The 23600-nt window shown below is 35.0% G+C and overlaps 1 protein-coding gene across 8 annotated transcripts in view; it reads left to right on the top strand.

Moving 5' to 3' along the window:
• GLRA3 (glycine receptor alpha 3) overlaps window positions 1-23600 on the top strand; it is a 192328-nt gene that overhangs the window by 94490 nt on the left and 74238 nt on the right. For 6 of the 8 annotated variants that reach the window (XR_001741329.2, NM_001042543.3, NM_006529.4 and 3 more), the window contains 2 exons: window positions 6060-6283; window positions 19188-19270. Coding sequence is in view for 7 of the 8 variants with exons in the window: in NM_001042543.3 (NP_001036008.1) it covers window positions 6060-6283; window positions 19188-19270 (307 nt within the window). In the remaining variant the exon portion in view is untranslated. The remainder of the gene's footprint in view (window positions 1-6059; window positions 6284-19187; window positions 19271-23600) is intronic. The other 2 variants (XM_047416196.1, XM_047416195.1) reach the window with 1 other exon arrangement.

Below are 23600 nucleotides of genomic sequence, written 5' to 3'. Positions count from 1 at the left end.
TAATTTTCAATCTTATATTTACGCAGAGGTTACTAAATGAGATATGAAGAGTGTTATTTAATTGATTCAGCACATTTTATGTTCTAATCAATCCCTCTTAATTGCATGTTTCCAGAACTGGTACACAATTAGATTGCTTTTTAAAAAAATTTTGGAATTTTAAAATCTTCTTTTTTCTAGGAGAATAATTGTACATATGGATAATGGAGAAGTCAGAGGGAGATTTAAGATAACCTTTTAAGCCTCTAAATAGTTCTTATAAAATGACTTTCTTCCCTGTTGCTTTAGTAACTGAGAATTGAAAGGCACTTTCCCAATGGGCCATTACTGCAGAATCAGTGGCCCCAGACGACAACTCTCCCTGTGGCGGGGTTCTTAGAGCAGATGGTATAGGCAACATGGGGGATATTACAGAGATGATGTTAGAAGCAATTATTGCACCATTGGGTGTCGGTATTCTGTGCTTCCTGACGCATGGGAACCTATATTGTACAGCACTTCAGAACTGTAAAAGCTTATGCAGCTAAACCAGTGAGACATTGGTAAGAAGTCTGAGCTTCATTCTTGATTATTTGACAAAGGTGAATTATTTTCTGATCATTTTGAAATTTGCCAAGATCTCTGATTAGGATTTTTTAAAACAGAAAGAATTCTGGATTATTTTTTCCATCTGGCTATGAATCCAGTGGTATTTGCCTTAAGTTTTCTACCATCTCCAATTACCGGCCAAAAAAAAAAGAAAGTCTATTGTTTTAGAGATGTCTTCGAAAACTGGTAATAATATTGTATGCAAATCAGTTCAAAAAGATATAATAGTTTCCTATTGCTACTGTAACACATTGCCACAAATTGAGTGGTGTTTTTATTCTTTTATGAGATGGTCAGTCTGATGTGGCCACAGAAGAAACAGGGAGACTCAGGAAAAAACACAGTTTATTATACTCACGGGTCCTAGAGACAAGAGGCACAGCATCCCATGCAGGGCCATGTGGGAAAGACATCATGGTGGTCAGGAAGCAGAAGGTAGGAGCATGAAAGTTTAAGCCACAGCCTTTATTGAGGTTTCTTCTGCAAAGGCAGGCAGGGCAAGGTGAACTGTTTATTTAAGGTTGCCTCGTTTGAATAATTTTGCCAGGCTTTGGGCTATAGAGATGGTTTCTAGTTGCCTGGTACCTAGCCCTGAGATGACTAAGGCACAGGAACACTGTCTTCTGGGTGCACTGGCTGATAGAGGGGGGAAGGTTCTGAGGTTATGAGTTTGTTTACTCAAGACATGCTCCAGGCTGGGCCCTTTGCTATCTTTGAAATTTGACTGGCACTGGGGAGAGGTAGTCTCTTCACAGCCAGAAGGATTTTTTAAGATGTCAAAAAAACACAACATACAGAAAACTTTAAAAATATTTATTCTGCAAGTGGCTTAAACAACACAAATGTATTACCTTACACTTCTTGAGGTCAGAGGTCCAGTGTGTTTTGCCAGACTAAATTCAAGGTGTCTACAGGGCTGTGTTCCTTCTGGAGGCTCTAGGAGAAAATCCATTCCTTTGCTTTTACAGCTTCTAGAGGCTGCCCACATTCTTTGGCTCTTTCTTGGCCTTTTTCCTCTACCAGAGACCCAGTCAGTTTCACATCACCTCATTTTGGCACTGACTCTCTTCCTCCTCTTTCAGCTATAAGGATTCTTATGATAACACAATTTCTTTTGGTATATAATTACATACATAATATATATGTGATGATGTATAATTTAATAACATAAACACTATTGAATCCTTTACCTAGACTTAGAGCTAAAACATTACCAATATTAAAGATACCTGTATAATTCACTATCTCATTCCCCAGCATTTCCCTAGCTAATCACTATCATAAAGTTGGTAGTTATAATTCTATATTGATGAATATGTATATGTATGTATATACACACACATACACATACATACACACATACATACATACACATAAATATATATATATATAGAGAGAGAGAGAGAGAGAAATTGCTTGGTTTTGAATTTTACAAAAATGGTGCCATACATTATATCTCCAGCATTTGCTTTTTTTGTTTTTACTGTTTTACATTTGTAAGATTCATCCTCATCATTGGAAATGGTGGTAATTTATTTTCACTACTAGGTATTTGATTTTATTGACGTGGCACAGTTTATTACGCATTTTTCTGCCAATGGATATTTGAATTGGTTCCAGGTTTTGGTTTGGTTTGTCTTGGTTTTTCCTTAGAGCTAACAGTGTTGCTATAAATACTTTTGTATATGTCTTCTGTTGCACAAGCATAAGGATTTAAGTTTTGTATTTTGAACTAAAATGTTTGTATCCTGAGTGTGCATATATCAAATTTATGTTACAATGTTAATTTTTCCTTTTTTTTTTTTTTTTAATTTTTGAGTCGGAGTCTCGCTCTGTCGCCAGGCTGGAGTGCAGAGGCGTGATCTCGGCTCACTGCAAGCTCCGCCTCCTGGGTTCAAGCGTCTCTCCTGCTTCAGCCTCCCAAGTAGCTGGGACTACAGGCGCACGCCACCACACCCAGCTAATTTTTGTGTTTTTAGTAGAGATGGGGTTTCACCATGTTGGCCAGGATGGTCTCTGTCTCTTGACCTCGTGATCCGCCCACCTCGGCCTCCCGAAGTGCTGGGATTAAAGGCATAAGCCACTGCACCTGGCCAATTTTTTCCATCTTTTTATACTTTTCGCGGCGATGTATAAAGGATCATTTTGCCCTGTATTTTTGACAAATTCTGATATCATCAAAAGTCTCATTTTTAACAGCCCAGTAAATATAAAATGGTATCTCATTAGTATCTTAATTTGCACTTCTTTGTTTACTTATGTGGTTGAACATTTTTTCAGATACTTCTTGGGTATTTGCAATGCCTGCCTAGTAAAATGTTGTGATTGTTTTGGCCATTTTTCTACTCAGTTGTTTCTCTTTTTCTCAATTATTGGTATGAAATATTTTAAAGCATGTTAATAATCAACTGTCAGTTGTATATGTGGCAAATACCTTCTTGCAGTATAATTTATGTTTTCATTAACCTTAAGTGACCTTTGGATGAACAGAATTTCTTAATTCTGACATCGTAGAATTTATTAACCTTTATTTTATGATCAATATTATTGTGCTTTTTAAATAATTTGTCCTACCTCAAGGCCACATACTCTGCTAAATTTTCTTTTAAAAAATTTTACCCATCATATTTGAACTTTTAATTCACTCCAAGTTGCCTTCTTGAGTAGCGTCATGTAGAGATGTAATTTAACCTTTTGCCATATACAAAATGTGTTGTACAAGGCCCTTTTTCTTCTTCACTCCAGGGAATTTTATTACAGGCAAGTTATTTCAAGTCTAGTTATTAGGACTTCTCTTAGGGTGGTACTATTTTGACTGTCCGTTTACTTGCCCCTTTCTTTACACATTTTCACAAATGGCCAAAATTCAAAAATAATTAATATAATTGGTTGCTGGGTATAATGGGATACTGTGGCTATGAAGAATCAGCCTTAAAAAAACATTTTTGAAATGCTGAATTTGGTTATTTAATAGCTTTCCATCTCAATGTTCATTTGCAGGCAAAGCAAAACCAAAACTGTAAGGAGCAGTAAAATCTTAGTTTCTAAGGTTTTCAGGACATGGTTATTTTTGTTTTGCTTTGAACCCTGGCCCTGAACCAAAGCATAGAAAGATTTAATCAAGCTAATTAACATATTCATCATCTCACTAACTTAATATAGTTTAGGAGTGAGAATGTCAAAAATTTATTCTTTTAGCGATTTTGAAATATACATTATTATTAACTGTACTTACCATGCAGTACAATAGACCACAAAATCATATTTTCCATGCTGTCATGAATGACAGGATTATTGTCATCCAGGGGCCTCATGTGGTTCTTACTTCCCTAAACTAAATGTATTAAGAGATAGAGATATTTCAGAAAGAGCATTACAATGGGTATATGATAACATTTGGCCTTGGTGACAGGTGACTGTTGCTTTTTCCTTGTATTACTTAGAAGCTGAAAGATACTAAACATCTTTTCTAGCACATATTTGGAGCAAAAAGTGTTCCCGGAAGAAATGAAAATGTATCTGTAAAGTTTATCACTAGTACTAATAACATAAGGATAAAGAGATTCTACCAAATTTTATTACATATACTGCAACTTAAAGAGTACTTTTATTTTAGCCTAAGTGTGGTGAACAGCTACAGAGAGTTCTAAATCAAGAAATGTTACAGCAAAAGTGCTTCAAACAACTTGATTATGTATCTTATAAATCAGTACAAATGTACATTCTTTACTAGTCAGTTATCTTTCCTGGCAGGTATGATTATAACTTGACCTTGTTCAGTCTTCTCCTGGCTATAAAGCAGAGAGAAACTGATTTGGTCAATCACTGATTCCTTTAGTGGTATTGAGGGCACACACTGGAGAATGGCGAAGGAAACAAGAACTGGCCACCAACCATGGAGCTGTGCTTCCTGGTGCCCTGGACTACAGGCTAAGAGAAGATGACCTATTCTAGGCTGGTAGAAGCTTGTTCACATATCCCCATTTACAGGTTCTGTAGATCCTTGTGGCGAGTGAGATTTCCACAATATCGTGAGCTTTCTGGCAAAAAGCTGAAGTGAATTCTGCTCCATTGTCACTTTGGAAGATACATGGGGCAGCTAGCAAGCAGAAAAAATATTTTCTGGTGTGTAACCTTAGTTGCAGTTAGAATATAGTCTCAGGGCACAAATATTGATCAAGAGGATGTACAGATTTGTAACATTCAGTACAAACTCTGACTTTGACCTACCAATAACATAAGCAATCTACCTGTTCTGATATTATTAAAGCATCCGTTGTGATTGGTTGGTTACTATATTCTGATGTCTCATAATTTGGTATTCAAGAAATAGAAAAATAGATGAAAAATGGTTTTCAGTTCTTGTGAGTATCTTCAGCCTTGGCTATTTTGCATGCAAATGAAGTGGTCTTATAATGTTTGCTTTAATCATGCTTACAATGAGGTCTATATTTAATTTATTGGCTCATTTCAAAAATCTAGAAAAAAATATTTATAAAGACATATATGGTACTTATTTTCATATACTGTGTATATACAAACACTACACATATACTCAGCTGTCAACATTTGTCATTCTACGCGTTAGTCCAAAATTGTGAGCAATAATTTAGTTGAAATCATTGACTCCTTTTAAAATTAACTATGAAAGATCTAATTGGGAAATCTCTTTAGCCAAATCTTCTTGAAGTATTATGGACAATAATCGTCCTTTATTATTCTTTCATTATTATAAAATCAGCTTTTATTTTTCTCAAATTACTTATTTCATAGAACTTACATGCTATATTAAACATGAGAAAATGGGCTTTCATTGTGAAAAAGTGTATATGGTCATTTTTGTAACACAGAGAGCTTTTAAGAAAAGTTCACTAAATATATTCTGGATGTTATTGGATATCTACTAAAATAAATTATTCTAAAAATAAATGCAAAGAAGAAAATATCTTTCTCTAAGTGTCTAACAGCATTCCAACATTTTATTCTGACAAAGCAAGAAAGTAAAATTTGAATGGAACAGCAAGTTTTAAACATGATAAATTGTGGTCTTTTCTTTGGAGGCATATAGGTCACTGAAGACATGGCCAAAACCTCAGAACTAGGATGACTGTTTTACGTGGTAATCAGTGAGGATCCTGGGGGATGGGAGTACCCGAGGATGCCATTGGTTCCTGTTATAATTCAGAAAAACCCAAAGAACAGTATATAAGATCCAAAACTCTTTTTTATAAGACTTTATTTTTTAGAGGAGTTTTAGGTTTACAGCAAAATTGAGAAGAAGGTACAGAGATTTCCATCCTCCCTCTGTCCCAACACTTGTATAGCCTCCTCCATTAACTATACACCCCGTCCCCAAGAGGGGTATATTTTCTACAGTTGATGAGCCTGCCTTGGCACCACACTGACACTATGGATTTTAAACTTTTTAAAGCAGGGTTTTTTTTTTTCTTTCTTTCATTATTTTATCATAGGATTACAGAGTGAATATCTTTCTTCGTCAGAAATGGAATGATCCCCGCCTCGCGTACAGTGAATATCCTGACGACTCTTTAGACCTCGACCCCTCCATGTTGGACTCCATTTGGAAACCTGATTTGTTCTTTGCCAATGAAAAGGGTGCCAACTTTCATGAAGTCACTACAGACAACAAATTGCTAAGAATTTTCAAAAATGGAAATGTTCTTTATTCAATAAGGTGAGTCGTGGACTTAAATTGCCGATTTCAGTGAAATAGAATATCATGGTGTATTGTTGGTTGGTTTGTTTGGTGAAAGTTTTGACATTTTTGAACAAGTGCTATCATTGTTGCACTTCAGTTCCTCTAATAGACTGTTTCCCAAATATGTCTGATCAATAATAACAGACCCAAGTTCCAGATTCAGGAACTATATAAGTAATTCTTGGAAATCCACTTTTTAAACAAATGTCCCTGGTGATTCTTAATATCAGCCAGGTTGTCAGGAATCTTAAAGGCAAAGTGAAAGGCAGCTGAATCATGCATTGTGATAATACTTTTATGTATATATGTCTTCTTTAAATATTTACAGGTTAAGAAATGTTTAGGTTTCTCATCTGAGATACATTCTACATAGATTATTTTTCAGGTATATGTGTTGTTTTTTAAAAATATCCTTGAGCTTCTCTGGTCATTCTTTTGCATTTTTGCCCTAACTGTTCAAGTTTCATCCTTTCTAACATGCTGCAAAGTGATGATTTGTTAATAAACTTTGAACAAGGCAGGGAAGAAAAAAAATCACTGTATTATGTGAAAATGGATGACAAAACCTTAATCACAATCCCTGGAAAAGACCTTATTTACATTTATGTTCCTAATTATTGACTTATCAGAAAAGTGTATAGCATTAAAAAAAACCCAATATTGAATAATAATTAATACCAAACAATAAACACTAATAAAAATTTTTGACAGTTGAACTCTAGGATTCACTTAACTTTGGCAGTTCATTAAATATGAAACAAATGTAGAGTCAGTAAATAGCTACTTACATGATATATTTGATGATCTTTGTCACATCTGAAAAAATCTTCTAAAATAGTGATTATTTAAAAATTTTCCATAATTGTTTTTCTAATTTAGTTTAGTTGTGAAGAACAGGACGTAAGAACAGAATTCATGTCATGTCTCTTAGAAGAGGGAGAATATGTTATACTTCTAGCAAGAGCCAAATATTTAAATACTTTTTTCACCAGTATCATGTTTTAAAAGGTATCAAGGTAGGCTTAATATTGAGGTCTTAGGCTTAAAATTAATTCATTCTGTTTTATCTCTCTCTTATCTTCTCTTTTGTAAACTTTCCTTCTCATCAGGAATGGGGGTATTTGATTTGGAGTTCATATGCCCAATATCAGGGATAAAATAGTAGGATTCTAAAATGTAATCTTAATAGCTTAGTGATTTTGAAAATGTTTTTTTCTGCAAAGTGGTTTTATAAATAATGCTTTATCCCATGTCTGCTCTTCATCTCTGCATCCCAATACATTATGTCTGCTTTTCACATTTACCTAGTTCATGAGAACAGATTTCTTTTCCATAGATTTATTGATTTCTAAAAGTGACAGGGTGACATCACTCTATTGTGAATTGACCCTTTCATCAGAATTCTGAGAAACAACTAATATGTACTAATATAATCTTAAGTGATTAACTGCTACATATGGCACAAAGGAAGATTTCAGGTTCCACCACTAATAAGCCCTATACTCCCATATGGATGAGTAAATTAATGGTGAATTCCAGGTCTATGCAAGATAATTTTGCACCTTTTAAAAAAATTACCAAAAGTCCACCCCTCCCCCAACCCCGCCCCACCACTAAATATCAAAAGATAGCAAGAATCTCACTTCGGGGAAGATGGAACAGACATACTTTTTTCTATTCTACCTGCTAAGTACAACTAAAAAACCTGGACACAGTATGTATAACAAACTTAGGGAGATGCCCAGTGGTGGATATAAGCACAGGCTGGCTGTGTACCTTGGAACCTGAGGAACAACGTGGAGGTGAATTCCCAGAATTTTCCTTTTGCTTCGTACATCCTAGACTTGAAGATGAAGAAACTGGCAACATGGCAACATCAGCAGGTACAGACAAAAATCAAAGTCCCAACAAAAGCCTAATTTCTCTAGCAAATCTAATATTCCCTAGAGGTTAGGAAAGGGGAAGCCTAGCAAGACAGAAAAGCTTTAGACAACTGCTCTACTCCAGCCCAACACCACAGGAAGAAATGCAATCCCCCTTAAGACAGCAAAGCCCAAATGGGGAGCCCAGACTTCCAGTCTTACCAGGTGGTATTGAGGTACCATCACACCTAACTCAAGATAGTGTCAGGAAAGGACAAATAATGAACTGGATTTTCATGCCCCACCATCCTATAGTGAGCTTCATACCTCACAGAGCCAGGAAGACCACATAGAAAGCCAGGAATTCCTCCCTTTCCCTGCAGAAACAAGGCATACCTTCCCTCTCTGCTGAGGTGGTTTTAGAGAAGACTTAGTGGACAGTCAATATTTTCAACATCACCTAGCAGTTCTGAGGCCACTCTCACCATAGTGTCAGTGGACATCATGCTTACACCTGGGACATCCAGCAATAAGGCGGAGCCTCTCCCCTCACAGGCCTGTATAGAGAGTGGTTAGGAAACAGACACAAGATAACACCTTCCCTTGCCTAAGCAGAGCAATGTCAGAGAAAACCAAAAAAGTTTAAATAAGAGCCAGAGTCTAATAAAATAGTATTTATATGTCTAGGCTTCAACCAAGAAACATTCATCATACAAAGAACCAGAAATCATACAAAGAACCATAAATGTTCAATAATTCTGGAAAAAGACAATCAACTGATAGCAACATCCAAATGACAAAGATGAGGCCAGGAGTGGTGGCTCACACCCTGTAATCTCAGCACTTTGGGAGGCTGAGGCAGGCAAATTGCTTGAGCCCAGGAGTTTGAGACCAGCCCAGGCAACGTGATAAAACCCTGTCTCTACAAAAAAACACAAAAATTAGCTGGGCAAGGTGGCGTTCACCTGTGTTCCCAGTGACTAGGAAGACTAAGGTGGGAGGATCTCTTGAGCCTAAGAGGCAGCGGTTGCAGTGAGCCCAGATCGCACCACTGCACTCCAGCCTGGGTAAAAAAGCAAGTCCCTGTCTCAAAAGAAAAGACAAAAATGTTAGATATCTGGCAAAGACTTTAAAGTAGCCATGATAAATTTGCTTCAGTGAGCAATTACAAATATGCTTGAAACAAATGAGAAAAATAGCCTCAGCAAAGAAATAGAAGCTACAAAGTGAAACCAAATCAAAATTTTAGACCTAAAAATACAATAATCAAAATGAAAGCTCAGTGTATGGGTGGACCAAAAAAAATGGAGAAGATGGAAAAGAGAATCAGTGAACCATAAAACAGAATAACAAAAATTACCCAATCTGAGCAACAGAGATGAATAGATTGGCCGTGGGGCCTGGGAAACAGCCTCAGGGATCTGTGAGATTACAACAAATGATCTAACATTCATGTCATCAGAGTGTCAGATAGAGGGGGAAAGGGTATGAAGCTAAAAAAAACTAGAGAAAACAATGGCTGAAATGTTAATACATTTTGCAAATGGCGTGAGCCTGCAGATTCAAGAAGTTGAGTTCCCAAACAAGATAAATCCAAAGATGTCCATATGAAGACACATAATGCATAAACTTCTGAAAACTAAATACAAATCCTGAAAGCATCCAGAAAATAGTGATATCTTATGCAGGAAAAACAATGAGAATGAGAGTAGATTTTTCTAGACGTCACTGAAGCCAGAAAGAAGCTACAAATATTTTTTTAGGTGCTGAAAGGAAGGAACTCTCATCTGAGAATCTTGTACCCAGGGAATATATCCTTCGGGAATAAAGGGGAAATCAAAACATTCTTGGATAAAGGAAAATAGAGAATTAATCACAAGTAAATCTGCCTGGAAAGTATGGTCAAAGAAGCTTTCTAAAAAAAAGAAAATGATAAAAGAAGAAGCATACGAATATCAAGAAGGAAAAAAGGACACAGGAAGCAAAAATATGAGTGAATACAATAGACTTTCCTTCTCATTTTGAGTTTCCTAAATTATATTTGACAGTTCAAGCAAAAATTATAAGACAGATGTAAGGGGAAAATGAAAGAAACAAATGAGATAACTTTTTTTATAAATGCATTGACAGAAGTTAATGAGACCGGTAAGATTTCGAGCTGTCTAATAGCCCTTCTGTGGTCACATGACTTGATGTTAACTGGGAAGAGGATTTGTCAAGATATATAAAAATATGAAACTCATTTATCCTTCAATTCAGCATTTCTATTTCTAGGAATCTAAATTACATATGTATGTGTACATAAGATATCTTTTACAAAGAGACCCACTGAAACACTGAAATAGCAACAAAAAAGGGCCTATATATGTTCACTAATAAGAACATGACTGAACACAGTAATAACCCCATATTATGAAATAACTTGCATGAGATAGACCTGAGTGTAAGCCTACATGATATATTTCAGTTCAAGAAAAATGTTTTGTATATTTTTAAGGCATATATATATATATACATATATATATACACACACACACACAAATATATATATGCATAGCTATGTATGTAAAAATATACATATATATGTCTATAGAAGAAGTTTAGACGAACCCCAAACAATTTAGAAATGAATAGGAATAGTGGAATTTGGGCAGGAATAAAGGGGAACTGTACATTTTGCTATATGTAATTTTATATTGTTTGAATTTTTCATAACAAGTTATGTATCACTTATGAATTAAACACATATATTTTAAGTTATAAAGTCTCTTAACATGAGGTCATGATTCTTCACTCCTCTGTGCTGTGGGCTCAAGAATATTATCAGGGGACCCATGACAGGGTATAAATAAAATAAATTTCATTCTTTCCTGCTAAGTTAAAAATTATTTTTGTAAAAGGTGTCATTTTATTTTTAATTATATTTTGAAGTACTGTTTCACTTCAGACAGATTTGGGGTTGCATAGGTTGCAAAAATATATCACCAGGTAGCATGGAATAGTCATTTTGCAAAGATAGAATATCTAGATTATTTATTGTAGTTGTGTGTGTTTGTATGTAACATATCTTACATGATTATCAACATGTATTTGTTTATTTTAAGTCTTATTGGAGTTGGAGAAAGTCAACACAAAGAACACACTACTGAGCTTTTAGTATTTCCCTGATCATTGAACAAAATAGAATATAAAACCTAGACTACTTTTTGTTTGAGAGGCTTCTTACTAACAATATGTCATCAAAGACAAAAGCGCTTAATTCCGTCCATCCTAAAAATTTGTCAAATAGGATAGATCTTGTTATTAAGAAGATTTCAAGATGACAGTTGTACTAAAACCCTTAACTGTGCCCATTCAAATGCATTATATTAAAGAATACTAAATTTATTATATTGAACACTTAAATAATTTAAATACAATTAATGAGATCTTGCTACTATGTCCCCTGGAAATGCTCAAGTATTTTCTGTCATAAAGTATTGGAATAAAACTGGAATTTTGTCTCTTATAAATGACATCATCCATTATGAATTGCTCACATTTCTTCTAATATTTTGAAGAAAGGTATGAAATAATTTAGAAATGCATCTTTTGTCTTTCAGTATGAATTCAAATGAAACAGATGGTCTCTCGGCTCCTAGATTTTGTTTGCTATATCCTGGCTTGCACAATCCAAAACTTAATTTTTTCTGAGTTGTTTTTGAAAATCTCACAGGACTTTGAAATCTTCAAATGCTTCATATCTTCAGTTTCTTTGTTAACAAAAATTGTGCTAGAAAAAGAAAAAATCTTGTTGAATTTACAAATGGAGCATCTGTTATGTTTCATGAGAGATCTGGCTTTCCTGCTTTTTTAAAGAAAGAAGAAGAAGGTCCTTGCAAAGACGACTAATTGAACTTACATATTTATCTGTATTTCCTCTGAAACCCCATTAAAAAAAGGAAATAAACGGAATAAAGAATAAAAATGTCGTTAACACACAGGAGGATGAAAGTAATGGGGAAAAAACAGCAACAGATGAGTGATAACATGTTTAGGAAACTTAAAAATGAATGCACTTCTGAAAACTGACTTAGACAGAGATAGTGGAAACCTACGTCAACATAGGGGAATTCAAAAGGAAGAGAATAATTAATATTTTCAAATTTTTAGAAATGTAAAGCACCTGGGACTTCAGAAAGTAGAGGCCAGAAGAGATCTAAGAGGAGTATAATTTATTTAAGCTTTGTAGGACAAGTGGACCCTCTATTCCTGATTTCCTTCCCATGCACTCAGGTTAGGGACTGCCCTTTTTACCTTTTGAACTAAGCAGGAAGCAAGAGGACAGAAAATGCTGGAGAGGCTCTTTCAAAAGCTTTAGGCATAGGGGTTTCAGGCACAACTGCTACCTGTCATGAGGCATCATACCAACAAAATAAGAATGACAGGACCCCTTGCTGGCCCTAAAATGCTGAAAGGCAGACTTAAACTTCTTCCACTGAGCAGTAGACAAGAATACAGATGATACATATAGATACAGATATAGATATAGATATAGATAGATATACAGATAGATTATACCTTATAGATACAGGTATAGGCAATATGGCTGTCCAGAGTTTCTCCAAATGCCAGAATCTGTAGATCTTTTCTCTTAGGCAAGTTAGTTTCCCTATTTGTTATATATATACACATATATACACATACACACATACACACACATATATATATACACACACATATACACACACATATGTATACACACATATACACACACATATATATACACACACATATTTTTTCATATACATCTATATGTATATATACACACACACACACATATATATACACACATATTTTTTTCCTCTTAGTTATATGGCATTTATATCTGTCTTAGATATATAGATATATATGTATCTGGAAAACTAATTTGCCTAAGAGAAAAGATCTACACATTCTGGCATTTGGAGAACCTCTGAGCAGCCATATTACTATCCTACAGTCAAGACCATTACTCAATGAGCCATCTGCTACTAACTGAGCTCCAGATAGTTTTTAGTGCCTCATTCTTAAATATATTTAAAATTTTATGAAATTTGTAACATAATTATTACTTGTTTATATATGTTATATATGTTATATATATGTGTGTATATATATGTTATATATAACAAAAAGTTATACAAGTGCTATAACAAACTACCAAGCTTAATCAGGAGCAAGAATTACATATTTATAACATGTAAACACTGAATATTAATTTAACCACAAATCTTTATATAATTCATGAATGTCACTTAAAAGTTCACACAGTTTTCACTTTGGGAAGCTGAGGTGGGAAGATCATGAGGTCAGGAGATGGAGACCATCCTAGCCAACACGGTGAAACCCCGTCTCTACTAAAAATACAAAAATTAGCTAGGCGTGGTGGCGCATGCCTGTAATCTCAGCTACTCGGGAGGCTGAGGCAGGAGAATCTCTTGAACCAGGGAGGTGGAGGTTCCAGTGTGCCAAGATCACACCACCGCACTCCAGCCCTGATGACAGAGCAAGACTCCATCTCAAAAACACACACACACACACACACACACACACACACACAAAGTTCACACAGTTCTATAAAACATATAAAAAACAGTTGTACTTTTGCCCTGCCCATCCTTACACCCAGTTCTGGCTTGTCAGAGAGGTAGCCTTTGTTTAGCTATTTGTCTACCACTCACATTCATATACTTAAGTTGCTGTAATATCATGCTTGATTTTTAAAATATTTGAAATTGTCTATTAATTCTTATAAAGGAAAACTAGAGTTTGTTTCCCTGATATGATACTCCATGTACATTTAACTCTCTACCACTGACTTTGGGAATCCACTACTTTTATAGCAAGCTGTAAGCAAGCCTTCTCTTTGAAAGATGTTCTCATCTCTCAAAATTATCAGCTGCATAAACAACCCTGGAAAATGGCTCAGATGAAAGAATGATTAGAGCTTTGCAGTCTTGGCATACAAGCTAGAGGAGGTATAGGAGCACAAGAGGATCAAGGAGAAATATATCTCCCAGCCCAGATCGAGGCTCTGCTATTGACTAGCTGTGATTTGGGTTAAGTCTCTTTACTTCTAAAAGGCTCATTTTTTCTTAGATACATGGCAGTGACAATACTAATTACCTTGAGCCTGAAATAATGTATTAAAATACATTAAATAAAGCACCCAGCATAGTGCCAGACATACAATAGGCACTAAAGTTGTTATTTTTACCTTTAAAGAAAAGTATACGTTCTGTTTTTTTACAGAATCCATAAACCTGTACTGCATGGACTCTTGAGTTATTAAGATGTCTCAGCCTCAGTTTTGTCACTTGTAAAAAGAGGATAGTAATATCTTTACCACAGAATAATGGAATCCCATCATAGGCAGTTAAATATGATATACTTTCTTACTTTACTAATATTACTAAGAAACCCAACTTTTCTACTCGTAGTACAGAGGCATTCTTGCATTAAAAATCAGATCACGGGAAGAAATTTTATGTTAAAGATGCTATGCATAGCAACTTGACAAAGATCATGATATAATTTTAATTTTTATTTAAGCTAAATATAATCACTCTGTGAAATTTGTGAAAATAACTAAAGTTTACTTGTATGAGAATATGTATTTTTAACATTGATAGCCATTAATTTTTAAATAAGAAAGCAAACTTATTTTGACAGTTGCTTTTTTAAGTGCTGTTTATTCAAGGGTAATCAATTTACAATGCTATAAAATGCATGTCGTAAGAAGAATTTGGCATACATTTAATTGTGTATGTTTTTCTTAAGCGGTCCATAGCTTCATAAAGAAACCATCAACAATAATGAGATTGCTTTGGTAATGGGTTGCTGAGTTAATGATTGTCTCTATGATCAGATGACAATTAAGCTCCAGAAGTAGGTTACAGAAGCTCATTCTAATCTCCCTTCTAGTGCTCCAGCAATCTAATCTCTCCTAAGAGTGATTTACCCCTTAGAAAATCATTCATAATCATATACCAAATCATTCAAATATATCAAATCTCTGGGGAAATTCCTTATATTTTCTACAGTTTAACTACATTTCTCTGATTTCTTTTGGAAGAATTATTTATGTAGGTTTTTATAAAAATTATTTATGCATGTTTTACTTTAAATTTCACTATAATATAACTATAATTTCACTATAAATAACTGATATGTGCATGCAATATATCATTTCTTGTATTATAAGAAATACATAATTTAAAATGTCATATTAATTACAGAACCCATTTTCATGAAAAATGCTTCAATGCTTTTGAGAGGCAGTATACTTAAAGGTTAAAAGCACGAGGCCGGGCGCGGTGGCTCACGCCTGTAATCCCAGCACTTTGGGAGGCCGAGGCGGGCGGATCACGAGGTCAGGAGATCGAGACCATCCTGGCTAACACGGTGAAACCCCGTCTCTACTAAAAATACAAAAAATTAGCCGGGCGAGGTGGCGGGCGCCTGTAGTCCCAGCTACTCGGGAGGCTGAGGCAGGAGAATGGGGTGAACCCCAGGGGGCGGAGCCTGCAGTGAGCCGAGATTGCGCCACTGCACTCCAGCCTGGGCGACAGCGAGACTCCGTCTCAAAAAAAAAAAAAAAAAAAAAAAGCACGAAATCTAGAACTAGAACCCCAGGGCTGCAAATTCAGCTGTAGCAATTTTTGCTGTGTAATGTCAGGTGAGTTACTTAACCTCTAAGTTTCCTCATCTCTAAAACAGGGTGATATCATTTACCTATTCTTGTAAATTTGTAGTACGGAGTAAATGAGTTAACATACACAAAGTGTTTAAAATACTGCCTACTGCACAGTAAACATTGTCTAATAGATGTGTTAGCTAATATGATATTACAGATAATATAGATTAAAACTGATTAAATTGCTAATTGAAGCCATTGTTTTTAAGACACCAAATAGAGAAATATTAGGATCTAATAAAAATACTCATTTATATACAAAGTCTATAATAGAGTCAGCAAACATTTTTTAATTCAACTAGTGGTTGAGATAGACACATGAAACAATGCTTGTACAAAAGTGGTCAATAATTGAATTTTAATGAGGTCAATTGTTTGTCACAAATTATTATCAGCTTTTTAAACATTACTGTTTCACTAAGTACTAATGTTAAAAGTCTTTCCCAAGACTTCTTAAAGGAAAAGAAGAAACGCCATATCCTGTTTATGTATCTTGTCTCAGAAAGAGAACTTAGTGTCTCTCTTACACAAGTAAACATTTATTTCCAAAACAGTAGAATGTGATTAATTGCCTCTTGATTTAATTTTCTTTTGATGTGGTCAAGACATGTCTTTAATTTATATGTAGTGTTTTGACAAAGAAATTCAGTATCAAACCCACCAAGTTGACACGTATTTTTCAGTATGCTGTGAAAGGAGCAATTGTATTGTACCTTAAACAAAAAGAAAGAAAAGTCGATGAATAGATTTTTTCAGGATATGATTTATGACCGAAGTCCTACAAACTGTGTTTTTCTTTGCCAAATAATTCCTTTCAAGTGCTATTTTTTTAGAATTATGTAATGTCTCTTTTTTTATGCCAGAAAAATAGCCAGGATATGAATTTGACATCACATGCATGGTGAGAGCATGGAAAAGATTCTGAGAATGCTATTTACTTCCAAACAAAAGGTCACAGAATTAATTCTGCAAGTCAACATTTGAAACTGGCTGTCTGAGAGCCTTGGATATTTGGAAAATTAATGTGTGTACATTCAAAATATATGTGTGCATACACTTCTAATAAGCCCTTTCACAAGGCAAAAAACATTGTGTCTACCTAATTTTAAAATTGCCTTTTTAAGAGAGAACTTTGTAAAATTACACAATCATACTTAACCTAGCTGAGCCAGGAGAAAAATTCCTTTTGAATGTTGAACTCCATGAATTATTCTAGTGTGTTATGGACTCTGACTCGAATGAATTACCAGATTATCCTCCTAAGACTCTTAAAATTCAGCAGCTTCACTGTCTCTCCATTTATGTGTCCCAAATTATGTTAATTGGACCTAACTCACCAAGCATACTCTCTGTAGACTATACATCATTCTAACTTTATGTCTATGGTCTACATAAAAATGTCAGCTTGACGAATGTGGTTATATTTAGTAGAGCTGCAGACTATTTTTTGTTAAAGCTTAAATAGTTCTTTTTTATTCCTTTCTTCTTTCTTTTTCCTTCCTTCCTTTCCTTCTTTCTTTCCTCCCTCCTTTCTTTGTTTCTTTGTTTCTTCTTTCTTTCCTTCTTTCTTTTTCTTTCTTTCTCTCTCTTTCTCTCTCTCTCTCTCCCTCCCTCCCTCCCTTCCTTCCTGCATGCCTTCCTTTCTTTTTTTTTTTTTTAAGAGACAAGATCTTGCTCTGTCACCCAGGCTATAGTTCAGCAGTGTGAGCCTAGCTCACTGCAGTCTCGACCTCCTGGGCTCAAGCCATACTCTCACCTCAGCTTCCTGAGTAGCCAGGATTACAGGTGCACAAGCCATACCTGGCTAATTTAAAATATATATATATATATATTTGTAGAGATAGAGTATTTTTATGTTGCCCAGGATGATCACAAACTACTGGGCTCAAGCGATCCTCTCTTCTTAGCCTCCCAAAGCGCTGGAATTACAGGCGTAAGACACCACGCCTGGCTAAATAGTTCTTAATATGTAATTTAATTTAGTCATCTTTGTGCCCACACTATAGAATTTGGCAGATGAGTAAATGAAGGAGTCTAGGAGTGGCTGAATATACTAATAATCACTAACAACCACTGTTTGTTGAGTGTTTGCTATGGCTTAAGCACTTGTCTAAGCACTTATGTGTGTTAACGCATGTACTGCTCATAGCAACTCTCTGGAGTAGGTACTATTGTTATCTTCATTTTAAAGATGAGAAAACTGCAATATAGGGGATTTGAAGTAATCTGCCTAGGGTCACGAAGTTTAAGTAAACTAATCCACCTAGGGTGCTCATGAAGACACTGAATTTCAATGGGAATATTCTCAGTGCAAGAGGCTTGCTAAAGAGTTCTCAGAAAAGAACTTCATTTGAATAAACTTGAGTGGATCTCACCATCTCTTCCTCAGGTGTAGGAACCAGAAAAACTACCCTGAAGAGATCTGGGTAGAATGCTTTTCCAGCAAAAAGTATTCAAAGGTGATGAATTTTCTGGAATGTCAACATACTAATTCTCTCTGGAAGTTGGAGGAGAGCCTTTCCAATGAGCGGAATACTGGTATACAGCATCTAGGTTATCCTTTGTGTGAAGCCAAATCAGAAGTTTGTTTGATGAGCATAGAATCAGATCATGAATATTCTAGAGGGCTATTTCCTGACCCTGATGATTCCCTTATCCCACACCGGGGAACATGAGGCCGAACTTTTCAAGTCCTCCAGATTCACTTTACTAAATACACTGCTGAATGTTCACTGACAACATCAGGGTCGTTAGAATGATGACTGAACGTTACATATGATTGCTCCTCTCCACCCTGCTTTTCCACGTTTAGAACTCTAATGCCTCTGGAATATAGCATGTGATTTGCAAGGAAAGATACCTTTTGACGTTTGGCATTAATTTTATAGGATCCACTCTTGAATTTCTCTTTTGAGGATGTCGTCTTGGAATACAGACATTTTCTAGACATCCACAGCCCTTTCTAATTGAATAAATAAACATATAGATATATAAATATGACGGGATGCTTATATTTAGGTTAGTGCAAAAGTAATTGCTGTTTTGCCAGCACTTTTAATGGCAAAACCCACGATTACTTTAGCACCAGCCTAAGATATGCAATTATCCAACCCCCAGCCCACCAAAGCCAGATTTGTATATAAGGGCATAGCTATTTTATAGTAAGTAGGATACATAAGCTGGAGAAATTTTTACTTAAATCTGAGTTAGTCACCAGCAAAGCAACATTGTTTCTCCTGTACAATAGAATATTAATATAATGTCATAAATTTCCTTTAAAAATAATTACTTTGACTTTCAGATTAACATTAACACTTTCCTGTCCAATGGATCTCAAGAATTTTCCCATGGATGTACAAACATGTATAATGCAACTGGAAAGCTGTAAGTATGAACCACTTACTTTTTAAAATACTTTTACATTATAGTAGATACAAGCTTTTAATGCCTAATATGGATAATTTATTTTGTAATCATTTTGGTCACATATTTACTGAATAGGCATGTAACCTTTCACCAGGTACTGAAAATAATGATACCTATCAACACATGCACTCCACACTATGAGAAAGAAACAAATTGAGGATCTAAAAATAACAGATTTTCAAAGCTTGATATTTAGATATGTGTTTCCATACACATCATCAGAAGTGAAAAGGATGGTAATCATTAAAAACAAACTATCACTTATTTATTGGGAGCCTCTTCTCAACGAAGTGTCTATATATATTTTTTCTTATACTGACAACAAAGATATTGTTATCCCTACGTTTTCAAATGTGAAAGTGGTCATGTTGAATGGTTGAGTATTCGGCTCCAACTCACAAAGGTGACAGTGACAAACTGCCTCCAAACCTATGCTGCTTCAGATAAGCAATGTTTATTATTTTAATATCACTCTGCTGGGTATGTTATGTATGTTAGCTCAGAAGAAAAAATGTCTCACACTTTCTCACAGATTTATTCAAGCTTTCAGGTATTCCTCTACATTTCTTCTTTCAAAGTAGACCCATATGCCTCACTGATCAACGTTAACACAGATGAACATTTCACATCCTACCCTTTCTCTGATCTATATAATTAGTCCTAAATTAATTGTTTACAGTGTTTAATCTCATATAAAAATTAAGCAATATGCAATATTTTACCTTATGACAGTATGTTATCCGAGGGGGAATAAAAGGACTGTTTGACACATTCCTTGAGGAAAATTTGAAGGCCGAGCCTCAGACTCCAGGTGTCAAAGACAAGGCTTGTAGTGTGATGGAGCTGTCACTAGATGGCAGACCAACTTTGTGGGGCAACGTGACTATACCCCTCCCTCTCCTGTTTGGTTTTTCTTAAGAAGTGGAAATATCAATTTCTCTGATAACTCCTCCTTGGAAAATTTAAATTGATTACTTTTATAAGTAGTTCTTAAATAATTAGCATACATATGGATAAAGTACTAACGTAAATGAGAGGAAATAAAATAAATTAAAATTTGGGGGGCTACTTAGCAATCAATCTACATGGGGAGAAGCAGCAGACCTGATTTTGAAATTGAAGAAGGGCAATTTGAGGACAGGCTGATTGTATATCTTGGTTGAAAAATTAAGTACATTTAGGGCAAAGAGTTTAAAATGTGCGGGACCCTCTAAGTGGCACCCTAAAATGGTTCAACATATAAGGGGCAAGAAAATTGTTTGGTCCTTGCTGTACCTCTTAAAGATTATTTTAGTTAAATGAACCAAGATTGTTTAAGAAGTTTTCATAATTTTCCAGAAAAAGAACAGAAAGTAGGACAAAGAGCAATTATGTGGAAGGTAGAAACAGGAGAGGCTGATTCGCAGTGGTTGTGAAGTCACTGAATGCCTGTGTGTCAGAGAGAAATAGCTTAGATAAACGGATCAGATTAGAAGCATTGATGAAGAAAGGGAACAGGGGATGAGAAGCAAATGTTGATGGGACAATTGATAAAATCCATCTTAATATGTTTGAGGTCTGGGAAATTTAGGTCTAAAGCCAAAGAGGGAGTGAAAAGTGAAGATCAACTATTAAAAGCCATATACAGAGTGGTTCAAGAATCAGATGAAATAGCTGAAGAGGCGAATGTAGAGAGGAAATAAAACACAAACAAGAACAGACGCTTAAGAAATGCCTACATTTAGAAGTTGTTGGAAAAAATTCCAGACAAAGGCAAAGATGGCAAATTAAAATCAACACGATTCAACCTCGAAAGAGAAAGGACTGTGAAGGAGTTCTGTGTAACAAAATCAAATGCTGCAAAGAAAGTTTTGTAAGGTACTTGAAAAAAGCAATTGTTATTGTTAACGAAGACAAATGTGATTAGAATAATGATGGTCAAAGCTGGAATCTAAAAAGGTTTTTTGTTTTTAGGTGAGTGATGAGGAAGTGGGAGCAGCAAGTGAAATCGTTTATTCCAAGAATGTTAGTTATTAAAGAAAGATGAGAAAAAGTACAGTGCCTGAGGGTTGGTTAGATCACTGGGCTTATGTTTTGAATAAGGAAAGCTTACTGGGGCTATTTTGCAGGACACAAAAGCTGACATAGTAAGACCTCCCATGTGTCTGCCTTTCTCAGAACATTTCTCAACATGAGAAAAGAGAGCCTCTTTTCTTTCCCCTTTGTTTCTTAATTCCTCTATAAGAAATATGAGTGGATTGTTCAAGGGGTTCTTTAATATTTCAGTCATTAAGCACTTCCTGCTCTCTTATTAGGAATTAATTTTAATTTAGCTAACCATAGAGACTTTGTTTATTAAACCTCTGTGGCAGATGCTAATGTCAGTCAAAGTAGAAGCTTCTGAAGTCAAGTTCTTCAAGGCGTTTTTTTCTTAAAACTTTTTTAGGACAATTACATATACATACACACACTCACATGTAATATACTATATAATATATACATATATTAAGAAATGCCTACATTTCTGTGTATATATACATATGTGTGTATATATATGCATATATGTGTGTGTATATATATACTCATACATACAAATCTACATATATATGTGTGTATATATGCATGTTTTAAGAACAATTTGTATCTATTTTTTTCTTTTCTCCTTAAATAGTGGTTTAAAATGACAAGATAAAAGATTGTAAATCGGTGGAACCCACTGGAAAGTAGGCAAAAAGAGTTTAACCTACTGGAAAGCAAGAGCTGTCAGAATCCCAGGGTCCACTTTTGAATGAAATCTGACTGCAGAAAGGAAGAAAAGAAAATGTTCAATAATATTAAGACGTGGGAAGTAGGCAAAAAGGAAACATAATTTAAAAGCAAACACTTTAATGGCTTGCAATGGTACAACTTCCTTAAATTCAGTAAAAGTTCAATAAATATATGTCAATGGTCAAAACTGTTCCAAGTGGCCTGAGAAATATTCTTTCATTTAGGCATCAATTGAAAAATATTTATCAAATACCTAATATATTCCACATATTATGTTGGGTGGTATAACAATAAATAAAGCAAAAAAGTCTCTGTTTCAAGAATTTCAGAGGCTACCTGAAATATAATGATAAAAATTATATTTATGCCAATATAATAATTCAATTAAAGATGATAAGCAAATCTTAATGGTATACTGTTAAAACAAAGGAGAAAGTGAATAAGAGAAGAACAAAATTAACAATGAATAACTAACTTAGAAAAGACTACTTTGTCTAAACTATCAATGATCCTATGCCCTCAAAAGTGTACATTTATGACTTATAATTGAAACCATGGATGATACAAAATTCCTAGTTAGAGGAAAAGAAATTATTGGGGAAGAGGCTTATGCAAGGAAAATCCAGGGTAAGAGAAGACTTGCATTAGAAATTGATGAGAAAAAAAAAGTATGAGTTAAGGATAATATCAAAGAATAAAAATAGAATAAAAGGGTTAAATTCATGTAGAAAAAAAGAGATTCTCAAACTAGATGTTAACAAATATTAAGACCCAACAATATGTTGACAACTAGACACTTTCTAAGAATACCACACAAAAAAATTTGGTAAAGAAAAATGAAAAAATGTATATCTGAGAAATGTACCTTGAAAAAGTCCAGAATAATTTTAACCAGAAAAAAATTAATGGCAGAAAAAAATTATGAGGCACAAACACTTGAGTGGCATGCTGGTAAAAAATCAATATGCCGTGGCTCACGCCTTTAATCCCAGCATTTTAGGAGGCTGAGGCAGGTGGATCACTTGAGGTCAGGTGTTTGAGACCAGCCTAGCCAATATAGTGAAACCCCATCTCTACTAAAAATACAAAAATTAGCCAGGCGTGGTGGCACTTGCCTGTAGTCCCAGCTGCTCGGGTGGCTGAGGCTGGAGAATCGCTTGAACCCGGGAGGTGGGGGTTGCAGTGAGCCAAGATGGTGCCACTGCACTCAGCATGGGCGACAGAGTGAGACTCTCTCTAAAAAAAAAAAAAATATATATATATATATAATTAGGAAAATCTAAGTATGTAACCATATAACTTCTAAATATAATAAGCAAAAGCAGGATGAACTGCATAAAAAACAGATAAATCAACAATTTACTGGATTGTACAAGCACAGTATATTTGAACAAAACAAATCATAGAGAGAGAGAATTTTTATTCTTTGTTAAATTTTGTTTTCAGCATATGGAAACATTTATTTATGTTATACACCACCAAGGAAGTTTCAGTAACCTCTTATGAATCAACATGTTATAAAATGTGATTTCTAACTAAA

This window comes from Homo sapiens, chromosome 4, assembly GCF_000001405.40.
Source record: "Homo sapiens chromosome 4, GRCh38.p14 Primary Assembly".
In the NCBI taxonomy this organism is placed as follows: domain Eukaryota; kingdom Metazoa; phylum Chordata; class Mammalia; order Primates; family Hominidae; genus Homo; species Homo sapiens.
The sequence above is the reverse complement of the archived record's forward strand: the minus strand, read 5'-3'. Positions and strand labels throughout refer to the sequence as shown.